This window comes from Homo sapiens, chromosome 1 (assembly GCF_000001405.40).
Source record: "Homo sapiens chromosome 1, GRCh38.p14 Primary Assembly".
NCBI lineage: Eukaryota > Metazoa > Chordata > Mammalia > Primates > Hominidae > Homo > Homo sapiens.
Window position 1 is genome coordinate 74,532,629 of NC_000001.11, and position 14,394 is coordinate 74,547,022.

At 38.6% G+C, this 14,394-nt stretch overlaps 3 protein-coding genes across 4 annotated transcripts in view; 2 read left to right on the forward strand and 1 right to left on the reverse strand.

Moving 5' to 3' along the window:
- LRRC53 (leucine rich repeat containing 53) overlaps nucleotides 1-4,451 on the reverse strand; it is a 67,704-nt gene extending 63,253 nt beyond the window's left edge. For both annotated transcript variants that reach the window (XM_011542512.4, XM_017003081.2), the window contains exon 1: nucleotides 4,176-4,451. In XM_011542512.4, coding sequence (XP_011540814.2) covers nucleotides 4,176-4,224 — 49 coding nt within the window. In that variant the 5' untranslated portion in view covers nucleotides 4,225-4,451. The remainder of the gene's footprint in view (nucleotides 1-4,175) is intronic.
- Nucleotides 1-11,800, forward strand: part of FPGT-TNNI3K (FPGT-TNNI3K readthrough) — a 346,187-nt gene extending 334,387 nt beyond the window's left edge. The window contains exons 26-27 of the mRNA NM_001112808.3: nucleotides 7,606-7,685; nucleotides 11,278-11,800. Coding sequence (NP_001106279.3) covers nucleotides 7,606-7,685; nucleotides 11,278-11,354 — 157 coding nt within the window. The 3' untranslated portion in view covers nucleotides 11,355-11,800. The remainder of the gene's footprint in view (nucleotides 1-7,605; nucleotides 7,686-11,277) is intronic.
- The window catches only part of TNNI3K (TNNI3 interacting kinase), a 309,042-nt gene extending 297,242 nt beyond the window's left edge, over nucleotides 1-11,800 (forward strand). Inside the window, exons 24-25 of the mRNA NM_015978.3 lie at nucleotides 7,606-7,685; nucleotides 11,278-11,800. Coding sequence (NP_057062.1) covers nucleotides 7,606-7,685; nucleotides 11,278-11,354 — 157 coding nt within the window. The 3' untranslated portion in view covers nucleotides 11,355-11,800. The remainder of the gene's footprint in view (nucleotides 1-7,605; nucleotides 7,686-11,277) is intronic.

Genomic DNA, 14,394 nt, shown 5'->3' on the forward strand with positions numbered 1-14,394 from the left:
CCCCACCCCACAGCAGTCCCCAGAGTGTGATGTTCCCCTCCCTGTGTCCATGTGTCCAAAACAGCATGGTACTGGTACCAAAACAGAGATATAGATCAATGGAACAGAACAGAGCCCTCAGAAATAATGCTGCATATCTACAACTATCTGATCTTTGACAAACCTGAGAAAAACAAGCAATGGGGAAAGGATTCCCTATTTAATAAATGGTGCTGGGAAAACTGGCTAGCCATATGTAGAAAGCTGAAACTGGATCCCTTCCTCACACCTGATACAAAAATTAATTCAAGATGGATTAAAGACTTAAACGCTAGACCTAAAACCATAAAAGCCCTAGAATAAAACCTAGGCATTACCATTCAGGACATAGGCATGGGCAAGGACTTCATGTCCAAAACACCAAAAGCAATGGCAACAAAAGCCAAAATTGACAAATGGGATCTAATTAAACTAAAGAGCTTCTGCACAGCAAAAGAAAGTACCGTCAGAGTGAACAGGCAACCTACAAAATGGGAGAAAATTTTCGCAACCTACTCATCTGACAAAGGGCTAATATCCAGAATCTACAATGAACTCAAATTTACAAGAAAAAAACAAACATCCCCATCAAAAAGTGGGCAAAGGACATGAACAGACACTTCTCAAAAGAAGACATTTATGCAGCCAAAAAACACATGAAAAAATGCTCACCATCACTGGCCATCAGAGAAATGCAAATCAAAACCACAATGACATACCATCTCACACCAGTTAGAATGGCGATCATTAAAATGTCAGGAAACATCAGGTGCTGGAGAGGATGTGGAGAAATAGGAACACTTTTACACTGTTGGTGGGACTGTAAACTAGTTCAACCATTGTGGAAGTCAGTGTGGTGATTCCTCAGGGATCTAGAACTAGAAATACCATTTGACCCAGCCATCCTATTACTGGGTATATACCCAAAGGACTATAAATCATGCTGCTATAAAGACACATGCACACATATGTTTATTGTGGCACTATTCACAATAGCAAAGACTTGGAACCAACCCAAATGTCCAACAATGATAGACTGGATTAAGAAAATGTGGCACATATACACCATGGAATACTATGCAGCCATAAAAAATGATGAGTTCATGTCCTTTGTAGGGACATGGATGAAATTGGAAATCATCATTCTCAGTAAACTATCACAAGGACAAAAAACCAAACACCGCATGTTCTCACTCATAGGTGGGAATTGAACAATGAGAAGACATGTGCTATTATTAAATGGAGTGTGTTTTAGTAGAAAGAGTATGGAATGAAAGTCTGAAAAACTTTTGTTCAAGTTCAGTTTCTGCCTCTGGCTAGCTCTGTGAGTTTCTGCAAGTCATTCGAACTTTCTGAGCCTGACTTTGCATCCCCAAAACGCCGGTGAAATTAATTCCTTCCCAGACACCCCACAGGGGTTTTATAAAAATGTTACAAGCTAATCGATAGAAAAGTATATGAAAGCTATAAAGCCTTCTGCAAGTATAAGCAATTATTATTATTATATCATAGTAGAACGTAATGTTCTGGGTCTCTTTATTTAAAACAATTCTCTGTAATTGTTTTAATTTCACTCTTAACTTTCAAGCCATGTAAAATAGTATACGTCTGTTATAATTCACCAAATCAAAGTTCCCAAGTTTGCAAAAGCCACGCTCAGAAGAATGTGATTTTAAAAAAATGATTCCTTTTGGACTGCATACCCATCTGAAGTCTTCTTTGGAATGCAATTCAGTCAGAAGCAATTGTGGCACTAGCAAATATTCTGAGAATTCATGAAATCCCAAAGCCAAAACCATGATTCATTGCTCCAATACCAAAAACATTTGGCAGGCTGTAGTTTGGAAGCCACAACACTGTCTGTTTTTAAGGCTCTAAATGGGGCCATTTGGATTCATTATGACACTGCCTGGTCCCACCACACTAGAGAGATGGCACCAGAATCTCCCAGTCTCTTCAGACATTATTTTTCGTATTTCTTCTTGGGACTTGCTTAACAATATATCTCTTTGGATTAAATTACATAGAGTTTTAGGAGTATCTCCTCTATCTTGTAAGCATTGCAACATGAATATTCTACAGATTTCTTTTATATAAGAATTCTTGTTTAGCAGTTCTGGATTTCCTAGTGCCAGCCTTATACAACCTGTCATTCAAATCCTTAACGATGGGTTTATGTGAAAGTGGTTTCTCTACAGTTTCCTCTGCTTCATCTTAAATGGAAATGTAGTTCCTCCTTTGAAATGGAGCACTAAATGCAATGGTTCCTTCAGGCATATAGCACGTTTCAGTTACCATTTCAAATGAAATGTATTTAGACAAAAGCTACTAACAGCACACTGAGTAGCAGTGGTAACGTATAGCCAGATATGCTGTGGCATGTATGTAAAAATCAGGCATTCAGCCCTGGCCAAATGTTGGACACGTCAGATAAGGAAGCTAAAAATCTCCTGCCTAAATGAGGACTGTGTAATTTCACTCTGCCTTTCCAACATGCCAAAGCTAGCTTCTCAAAGTCTGCATGATTCATGAATGCCTTATAAAGAATCATAGAATTCTGTGGCTCACACCTGTAATCCAAGCACTTTGGGAGGTCGAGGTGGGTGGATCAACAGGAGTTCGACACCAGCCTGACCAACATGATGAAGCCCCATCTCTACTAAAAATACAAAAAATTAGCCAGGCATGGTGGCACATGCCTGTAATCCCAGCTACTCTTATGCTGACACACAAGAATTGTTTGAGTGTGGGAGGTGAAGATTGCAGTGAGCCGAGATTGCATCACTGCAATCCAGCCTGGGTGACTGAGAGGGACCGTGTCTCAAATCAAACAAACAAAAAAAGAATCACAGAATGTAAGAAATGGAGGAATCTGGGACGTCACTTGTCACATCTTGTGACCTCCAGGTAGGTTCCTGGATCCCTCTACAGCACCTGGAGCCAAGAGGTGCTTCAGTCCTTAGCTTACAGACTTCCAGGGATGGAACAGTATCCCCTACTAGAACAATTCAATCTATTTTTGGACAGTTCTAATCTTAGGAAATGCAGCATTTTGTTTTAATTATTGTTGATGTCTAAGGTTCAACTTAACTCTGTGGGAATGTCATCTATATGAAATACCTTCACCATTTGAAGACTGTGTCAGTTGTCGATATTCAGTCAGTCACAATTGAATCTAACCACTCGTCATCTGGAACAGATCTCCCCTTCTTACTTACAAAGCAGTCAGGAGTAATTCTGTCCAACACTGTGCTAGAATCCAGCTGTATGTTCTAGCCTATTGATTTCCCCTTATTATTTATCTTCATCAAAAAAATAATAAAGTAAATCTAGAATGATTTTCTTTTCTTAATGTATCCATGGTAGCTCCTAGTAATCAGTGTTTTTCTAAGAGTGCAGAAAACTTCTGTTTAAATCATTCCTTTCTGAAGCTTTGCCTATAATGTACATTAACTCACTAGCCTAGTTTGTAGGCTGTCTTACTCCTGCTTTGGGGAGTTGAGTCTATATTTGCATATATTATCTTCTAGCACTTTTCCCATTCTTCTTAGCTCTTCTGTCATTAGTTTTAAATGCCCTGGTTCATGTCTTTACCTAGGGTGCATTAATTCATTCACAGACAATGTGACCATTTGCAAACAGGCTAGTTTGTTCTGACAAGCCATGGCCTAAATGGCATGCACACTCCAAAATACAGTTTACATATTGTGGATTTGAGTGTGAACTGGTCTAATTGGCAGATGTTCACTAGGACATCTATACCCCTAAAGCATGAATTAATTAGTAAAAATATTTTTTAAAAATTTGTTTCTGTTCTTAATTTTAATAAATTATTCATATCCTAATGCACCTTTATAAAAACGGTGACTGATGATCATTTTTATATTTATGTATACATCATGGAGCTAATTTGAATTAGCACTAAAATAATATATACTAATATAACATGGTAGTATGCAAAAACTAACCTAAAGACTATGTTATTCTCTTTTCATAAAATAAAATTTCATTTTACATCCACAAAATTACCCATATAGGAGCTAATAATTCATATATATGGCTATCTATGATATATATCATCATCTTTTTAGCATAAAGAAGACTACCTAGTTGACCAGCAATGTTGAAATACTTGCAAAATTGAGTGCTTTCCTTACCTGTCATTAGCTTGCATTTACTTTTGTTGAATTCCTGAGGCAGCTGCATCACTGTATTTTCACTGACCACAATTTCAGCAAATAGAGGTCCTGATGAATCTTCTAAATCCGGGCATCTGTGAAATGCTTGCTGAAGTCTGGATGCACATGGGTGGAAACAGCTAGTTCCATTGATCAGGGTCTGGTTTCTTCTGTTTTGTTTGACCTGGCATGGGTAGCTTCCATCTGTCTGTCATCCTAGAACAGCATCTGGAGCCAGCCTATGTGGTATCTCTTGGGCAAAAAGGTTAAGTCGTTTGACATGGATTGCATTTAGCAACTGAACAAACAGAGCAGCTTGGATATGAGCTTTTATTCAGAAGAAACCAGATAGCCATTTTGGTGATAAAATATTTATTTCCTATTATCTTGTGTTGCCAAGACTACTTTGTATAGTACATTTCTTAAAAGGAGATAGAGTTCTAAAGAAGTTAGGTATATTAATAAGGGAAATTGTATTTTGAAAAATGTCTTGAGTGATATTCTATTGCCATATTTATTGTTGATTGAGAAAACATTATGTCCCATTTAAGCCAATACTTTGTCTTCTTCTTAAGTATTGCTTTCTTCTAAAAAACAACATCTCTACTCTATAGCTTAAGGAAGTGAGGCCAAAGATGCAGTCATTTTTAAGGCAGGTAGAAAGAATTAATCAGTGTGAACTGATGTTAGCTTTCAGGAAAAACTGATGTCTCCAAATGAACATTTTGTAATAATTTAATTTTATTTAATTTAACATACATACTTTTATTTTAAGTATTTGCAGAGTACTGGCTAACCCCTGTGGGGAATCTAAAGATGTCAGACATAATCTCTGACCTCCAGGAGCTATCTGTGTAATGAGGTTCACTAGCATACAAATACAGATAATTCTACCCTAAGGCAGATTCTGATGGGTACTGTGATAGAATTATCACGTTCTAGAGGGGTATGGAAGAGGAAGAGGTTAGTGCTGACTGGGAGTTTTCAAGAGGGCTTCAAGGAAGATGCCAACTTTGAGTTGGACCTTTATTGAGTGCTTACTAAATTTCAGCAATGTTCAAAGTGCTTTAAATTTATTAACTCTTTTAATTCTCATGATTAACTTTATAAGCTAAGTCTTGTTATAATTCCCATTTTATAGTTGTATCACTGAGGTATGGAATAGTTAAATAACTTGCCAAGATAGTAAGTGATGGTGTCAGGATTCAAATTCAAGGAGTCTGGCACTAAAATGCTCATTCTTAACCGTAGCACTATACTGCTTCCTGCCAGGGATAAATAGGCATATTCAAGCAGTTGAGAGTGCTCAGCCATAGTCATAGAGAAAAGAAAATTGAGGAATGTTTGCAAAATTCAGTTTTTTAGTCTGGCTTGAACTTGGGTAAAAAAATAGTTGAGGAATTGTAGAATACAAGACACAGAGACCCAAGTAGGGCTATAGAGGACTTGGTATATCGGCTTGGGGAATTGCAGGGGAATGCTGTGGTAAGGCTTTTATTATAATAAGACCCTTTGGGGGGAGTATTGAATGACTGGGGGGTAGAATGTCATTTAAGGATCTATTAATTCTATTAAATGCTCCAAAAACTCTTTTTTAAGCTTCTCTTATGTACCAGGCACTGTTCTGAGTGTTGAAGATATAGCAGGGAACAAGAGAAACAATTCCCCACCCTCATTGTGTGGAAAGAATATGGAGGGTGTATAAGTAAACAGATAAATAAACAAGATAATTTTCTATAGTTCTGAAAGAAGGAAATAAGGCGATGTGATGTGATAGAGAGTGGCCATGGGCAGAGGAATAGTCACTCAGAATGGTGGTCAGGATCTATTCTTGGCTCCTCTGCCATTCAGGCCTGAACTGAGGCCTAAATTGCAGAGGAGGCAGTCATAGATGAAGGCAGGGCAAGTGTTCAGCAAAAGGGGATTTGCGTTTATTAAGAAGAGCATTGCAAGCAGCGTTAACAAATGCAGAAGCTCTGAATTGGGAAAGAGCTTGGAGGGTTCAAGAGACAGAAAGAATGCCAAAAAGAAGAAGCATTTAGCAAAAGATGTGGAGAAGGGTATGGGTTGAAGTTTGAGAAGTAGGAAGGACCAGAACCTTATAGGTAGAGCATTTGTATTTTATTCCAAATGAACTGGGAAGCAATTGAAAAGTTTTAAGTAGGTGAATGATGTAATCTGTTTATATTTTGAAAAGATCACCCTAGATAATATACAAAGAATGGACTATATAGAGACAGAAGTGAAAGCAGGAAGATCAATTAGATGGCAAACTGCAAAAGCCCAAAGAGGAAAAGATTCGTCTAGGCCTTGAGGCTGGAGAGAGATGGATAGTTTAGGATTATATTTTGGAGGCAGAGCTAAAAGGACTTGAATTGAGTGAGAAATGTGAGGGAAAGAAGCTATTACCAAGGAGGACTCCAATAATTTTGGCTCAAGGTAACTGAACGATGTAATACTGGTAACTGAAATGGAAAGAACTGGCTTGGGTGCTGGGAGAATTAAGAGTTCTTCTACAGTCATGGTGAAGTTCTGGGGGGAACTAGGGTAGTTGCTTTGAGAATGACAAATGATGAATGGATGCTAGAGAGATTATAGATATACAATTAACTGACTGATGTAGTTAGATGCTAGGATGAAGATTTTGATAAATTCAGGTTTTGAGTCAGATGAACTGGGAAGGAAGTGACCCCATTTACCAAATCGGCAAAAGAGAAGGAGGAGTTTGAGAAAGGAGAAGGATCAATACAGAGTAGGAATCATTAGGAAATTCATATTTGATAGTAGATAAACACATCAGCTTTGGAATCTAAAAGATGAGGATTTGAATCCTGGATGAGCTGTTAGCAAACCTGCATGACAAGTTACTTAATTGTTCCAGTGTCAGTTTTGTTATCTATAAAATAAGGAAATGATATTATATTATATGTAAAGCGATATATATAAAAACAGAAAAGAATCATGCAATGAATATTATCACTATATCTTATTATCATAAAAATAATATAATAATAATACTTCTTGGGATGTGTTTTATTTATATTATTACTAAGATAATAATGTTCTTGTTTTAGTTCTTTTTAGTAAGGATTACAAGCACAAACTGGAAATTATTTATGTTCTTTTCCTATTTTACAGGTAAATAAACTGAGGCTCAGAAAGGATGGCATACCCAAGGTTATACCGCTAGAAATTGTAACCTATGCTTAAGAGCCAGGACTCACACTTGGATATGACTTAAACCAAATAATTCTGAACTCTTCCCCAACTAGTTACTGTTAAGATAAAAGCTGCTTTGTATCACTTTGCCATTTCTCTGGGATCTATGTTGAGTGGAAAAATTCTGTGTTTATAAAAATGTTATTATCAGATCACCATACTGTGAAACTGTGTTTTATTAATTTTCCAGTGCTGGACAATATTCCTCTCAAGGTCTGTCTTTGGAGGAGATGAAAAGAAGTCTTCAATACACACCCATTGACAAATATGGTAAGTAGGCAGATTCTTTAGGTTTGTTAAGAAAACTACCCCTAGGAAGGTGATGTCTATTTGACAAAAAGGGAGAAAGCATTGCATATTGTAATATCCAAAATGACAGATGCTTTAAAAATATAAAAGTATAAAATTTGATTTTATATGTCTTTTATAACTCATTTACCTTTAAGGTTAATAATGTCTGTGTGAGCATGTGTGAGTGTGCATGAGTGTGTAAGTATATGTGTGATTATGTGTGAGTGCCTGTATGTGTTTGTGTACATAGAAAAAAGTACAACTCTTTTTTTAAAAAAAAAAAAAAACTCCTTCCTCTCATGATATTCCGAATACTTTGTCAACATTTTATTAAGTCCGTTGCTTCTAAGCCCCACATTAAGTGTGTGTGGGTAGGGAGAGGAAAAACAAGAGATGAATTTTCACAATTACCTAATATGTTGGGAGAGCTGTTCCCCTTTTAGCCAAGCACTCAAGGGTAAAATGCAAATCCAGCCATTCCTTCAAACAGCTGGAGAGGCAGTGAGGGGACAGTTTGATGGGAACCATTTTACACAGGACTTCTTCAGAAAGAATTAATAAAGCTCTTTGAAATAATTAACAAAGTTTTTTTCAGGCCTCTGGAAGCCAGAGGATGGACAATTGCCTTTATCATCAGCTGCGATATCAATGTGTTAGGGCTGGGATGTCCTTTTACCAACCTTTAAGCCTGAGAGGCACTATGTTTAATTGGAATTTTAGCACAATGGGCCCATTTATCCATTGCAACTTCCTTTGACTATTTGAAGGACTGAAAAAGTATCTGTCAGTTAAAGAGATCAGATTTATTATAAGAGCTGGGTTTGGGAAAGAATAAATTAGATGAAGTGAGCCTGGGTAGGGGGCAATAGACCTGGGAGACCCTCGGCTTTGGGATCCTCACCAATTCACCTCATCTGCAGAGACTCATTACCTAAGGCATTAGAAACCTTTTAAGAAACAAAGAAAAATGTATGTTCTGAATAGATGCAAACAAACTATTTGGGCACATTTAAAAAAGGGAAATTTTGTGCTTCTGACTCCCAATACATATCTAGAATGCAGATGAGTGCTTTTTATCATCAGTTTTACAACATAATTGGCCAGTCCAGTAACAGATCCTTTTGAGGGGGAAAATGCACTCCAAGTGTCACATCCTCACATTTTTTTAATAGACATAATATCTTTTCTTCAAACCTTTACAGATGTAACTTCATAAACACAAAACATAGGGCATCCTTTGAAACATTTGCTTTGACCAGAAGTCTTCCCTTTTGTGGTAAGGTTTCAAGATGAAGCATTTCTTTAACTTAATTTGTTTCTTAAAGAAGAATTCCCCCAAGATGGAGAAGTAAGAGAAATGTGATGTAATAATGCAAAATTTGGGTTTTCCTATGCATACCTGTCTCAGGGATGAAAGAAAACATGGAGGGTGTTTGGATGGAGTGAGAGTACCTATAAACAAAGAAGATACATTCGATATCTCCCATTAGGAGCATCACATCATACAAGAAAGAACGCTTTAATTGCCCTTTATTCTATTTCATAAACTGATCGCAATATAACAACAATTTTATGAGCTTCTTCTCCCCCTGCTTTGCCGCCAAAGAGCAGAGCTCGAAAATGGAGATAAAATGAAACACATAGCTGTTTTCTCTGTACTTGAGACCTTTTACCTTAAAGTAACAAAACATTCAGACTTGGTTCAGTCTTTTCCTAAAACCTATGGTCAAATTTCAGTTGAGTTCTTCTTAAACTGAGTGGGTCCACAATCTGACACATCTGTTCTTACCTTCTGGCAATAATGACATCAATAATAAATGCTAGCCTCAATGCCTTACTGATTTTGCTGATCATTCCTGAGGGTAGAGCCCACCCACCCTTTGGGGACATATGTCCACAATCAAATTTCCATTGGAGTCCTGTGGGGCAAGAGGCACTGGAACATCACAGGCCAGTAAAATTGCATGTGGTATGTTAGAAAGCTGATTATGGTCATAAAAGTATTACAAGCTTATGGAAGCATCTACCTATGCCTGAAATGAAGTCTCATTTTTAGCCTGGATACAGTAAATATTTTGCTGTAGAAGGTAGATTTTGTTTTAGTCTACACAGAATTTAGATCTGCTGATATGTATCCTACTGCCCCTCATCTCATCCTCCCCCATCATAACCTTCCTCACATCTGACCAGAGCCAGTCCCAAAAGAGGTGAGTGAGAGAGACCAGTTGACAGGAGTATCACTATCAGTGGCATTTTCTCTTAAGAGAGTTTATGTGCTACCTAAGATATTTTGACAAGAGACCTTTCTTATGAAAATAAATATTTCGATCCAACTGCATACTGCTAGATGTCTTAATGAAAATGTAGATGACTGGGTTGGTTATGAAAACTCAGCTATCAAAGGGGAGCAAAAGCAGCAATAGCTATTGACAAATGTGCTCACTTTCATGAAGCAATGAATGGCTTTCTTGCTTCAGAGTGAAAAGAAAACTGCTTCCCTGTACATAGCTCTGTGGTTCTCTTGGACAGTGGCCTGATCCTGAGCCACTAGTTTAATTCTCTGGACACATCCAAGGCTATTGCTTCAAAGGGCATCAAATGCCACTGGTATTTAGACCTAAGAATTTTATGTACCTTTAAAATTTGGGCTACCAGGGAGAAGAAACAAACAAAGCCATCTGGTTTGAGAAAGAAAGGCTCTTTCCTTTTCCTTTTCTTTTTCTTTTTCCCTTTTTTTTTTTTTTTTTTTTTTTTTTTTTGAGATGGAGTCTTGCTCTGTTGCTAGGCTGGAGTGCGGTGGTGCGATCTCGGCTCACTGCAACCTCTGCTTCTCGGGTTCAAGTGATTCTCCTGCCTCAGCCTCCTGAGTAGCTGAGACTACAGGCACATGCCACCACACCCGGCTATTTTTTGTATTTTAGTAGAGATGGGGTTTCACCATATTGACCAGGATGGTCTCGATCTCCCGACCTCATGATTCGCTCTCTGGGCCATCCCAAAGTGCTGGGATTACAGGCATGAGCCACTGCACCTGGACTCTTTCCTTTTTCTTTACCTTCCTTTTTATAGCCATCTTTTGTTTAGCATTCACTGGTATCAGACAGTGCTAATTGTCTTAGGTGCATTGCCAACCTTATGAATAAGTGCTATTGTTTCTCCCATTTACAGATGAACACACCGAGGCATAGAAAGGTTAAGTTGACAAAAGTCACAGAGTCAGCAAGTAGTGGAATCCGTGCTTAAACCCAGATTTGCCTGACGTGAAAGCCTGTGCTTTTAGCCACCCTGACATGCCATCTGCCTGAGCTGTACCCCTCTTTACTCCAAACCCAAAATGCCACCTGGCCAGCTTGGGTCCAAATTAGACATTAGTCATTCATATTTGCCTGGTCTCAGCTCTCTGTTTTCATTGTAAATGTTGCTTGTGCTTTGCAACTACTCACCAGCAACCGTTGTCCAGATTGTCTGTTCACATGATCTGGAAGACCTGCCTGGTTCAGGCTGGTTATAAAAAATTGGGGGATGTACTGAAAGACTAGTAAGTAACAACTGAACTTCTTTTCTGATGCAGGCTATGTATCCGATCCCATGAGCTCAATGCATTTTCATTCTTGCCGAAATAGTAGCAGCTTTGAGGACAGCAGCTGACAGCATTCGGCGTATACCTAAGGAGAGTTTTTTCCCCGAACTGACAGCAACGATTCCAACCACGGCAAGCTGGCTTCCAACTATAACATTTTACTCTCAAAGGTCTCCTTAAATTGGGCTTGTTTTTACTTGTCCTATTTAATTCCCCACTATTAGCAGGCTTTGGATTTGTGCCTAAGGAATAATATGCAAAAGAACCAAGACAGAATGTATATGAAGAATTGTTTTTAATTTTGTAAATTAAAAAAAAATTTAGATCGTTACTTGGAAATGGAGCCTAAGTCTGTGGTGGACAGATAATAATTATGTTTTCCTGGGCTGAATTATGTAGACTTGTGTTTGACAGCTATGGGTTTATTTCTTAGAACATTGTTCATTTTCTTTTCTCATTATGTTACTTCTAGTGTTCACCTCTGTGATTAAAGATTCTTTGGTGAAATAGAAAATTGATTTATGAGTGTATTTTATTTCAACAAGACTTCCACTAAGTATATTTTTTTTCCAGCCATATTGGTAAAAACAGTAGCAACTTTTAGGTCAAGAAGCTTGCAAAAATATAGCACTAATTTAGTCCCCTTTCCATGTCATGCCAAGTGCTCCATGATCTACTTAGGTAACCTGTTGCTCTCAGAACAAGAGGTCGTAGATGTATCGGGTCAGTTGTGAAACCAGCCTATGCATGCAAACCTGCCATTTTTTTATACTAGAGTTTTGCACAATGTGGTGGGAGAATACCTAAGGTGCCTACTGCCTTCGAGAAATGAGAAATCTGCCCTCCATACTGGTTCCTAGTTGGAAGACAGGAATGGTTCTATGAGACAAAATAGTTTTTCCATTGAAAGACAGATGGGAAAAAACAGGGAGGAAACTATAAAAATTGAAGGATAATTGTGTGTTTTGATTTTGGCAAGATAAATAAGGTTAGCAAAGGAATCTTGGATATCCTCTAAATCAAGGTTCCTCAACCTTGGCACTGTTGACATTTGTTGAGAGGGTGGGGGGCTGTCCTATGCATTGTAGGATGTTTAACAGCTTTGTGGTCTCTACCCGCCAGATGCCAGTAACATCCCCTATGATAGTTAATTTTATGTGTCAACTTGACTGGACCATGGGATGCCCAGATATGTGGTTAAACATTCTTTCTGGGTGTGTCTGGGTGTTTTCTTAAGAGATTACCATTTGAACCAGTAGACTGAGAAAGGCAGATAGCCCTTCCCAGTGTGAGTAGCATCATCTTATCTATTGAAGGCCTGAATAGAGCAAAAAGGTGCAGGAAGGGAGGATTTGCTCTCTGCCTGACTGCTTGAGCTGGAGCATCCATCTTCTCCTTTCCTTGGTGCTCCTGGTTCTCAGGATTTCAGACTCAGGTTGGAATGTATACTATTGGTTCTCTAGCTCTCAGGCGTTTGAACTCTACCACTGGCTATGCTGGATCTCCCGTTTGTAGAGAGCCGATCATGGGACTTCCCAGCCTCCGTAATTTCATATATCTATATCTATATCTGATTGGTTCTCTTCCTAACAGAGAACCCTAATGCACACACTCCCAAGTTATGACAATCAAAAGTGTCTTCAGACATTTCTACATATGCCATGGGGGACAAAATTGCCCCAAGTTGAGACCCACTTCTCTAAATTCAAAGAGGATAACCACAGGCCTAAAGAGCAAACAAGGAATTTAGAGCCTGACTCTGGCTGGCTGCATTTAGGCATACGTGCTTTCTCCTCCTCCTGAAGTAATGTGGATTCATATATAAATGGAATTGGATAATTGGATAGTAGAAGTGCTGATTGCTCCCTTAGATATCTGTGGCAAGCTCCTCTCTCCTCCACTTCCCCCTTGCCAGTTAGAAATTATGTTTCTAGAGGGCAATTTCTATCAGAACAGGAACACCACCTTTAAAATCCCTTTGAGCCTCTTTTTATGACTTATGGTTGCAAAGTCACAAATCCTAGCATGCTCTGATTAGCTTGTGGATAGCCCAGTGTAGGTTCAGAGACAGAAATTAAAAGCAACTTGGTACTTCCAACTAGATTTATCCTCTTTTAGCCTCCAGCTTTTTCCATTTCCCTACCCAATTATTCTGGAGTCGCAGGTACTCTATCCCACCAATCAGATTCCCAAAGGACTTTATAATAAGCAGGACCGAAGAACCTGAAGTGACTGCTCAGGCATAAACCCTTCTGGCAAAGACAGAGAAGGAGAAAAAGAAGCTGATTAAAGAACACCTGTCTCCATAGCTTTCCCCCTATTCCTTTGCTCTAGCTACTCTAGGAAATGAACCAGCACTTAGCCTGGGATACTTTGGGGCTTAATCCTTTCATGAGTTGAGTTGAAAGAAATACCTTAGAGAGTTTTTTTCAAAAGATAGTTTTAACCAAAAGAATCACAGTATACATAATGCCAAATGTGTGTATAGTCAGGGCTGTGGACAGTGCTGGGGTAACTCTGGCTGGCTGCATTGAGGCATACCTGCTTAGGTAACCCCAGCCAGGTGCTCTCCCAGGTCATATCCAGAGGGAGGATTGTTTGCTTCTGAAATGCCCCTCTTTTAGAAAGAGATTTTCTAGAACAGATTCGTCAAGATCTCTTTCTTTGCTTCCTCTAATTAGCCACCTCTTCTCTTCACACTGCATTTCCTGATGTTGCTGCTTCCCTCTGGCTCTTGTCTTGTCAAATATCTGCAAATAATGAGACTAATGTGTCTTGATTCCTGAGAAGGAGAACCTTTTCGCAGATTACAACCTGTAGCTCACAAACCCTTTTCATTACTGCACCCTTAATGGGGCCCAGGGATCATCTCAGAGCTTGTATCAAGACCATGGGTTTTATGAGGTTTTTTTCTTCCTTGCTGAAAAATGTCGCACTAATTGCTTTCTTTTTCTTTCAGAAAAAATGAACTTCTAAGATTATGTTTTTGCATGCTTAGCACATTAAATTTCTTTCTACGTGCATGCAGCACTGAGCTCGCTCCGAAGATGTTCAATTAACTGTAATTGTAAGCCAAATTATAGCAGCACCAGGAAAGAGTTATTCCAA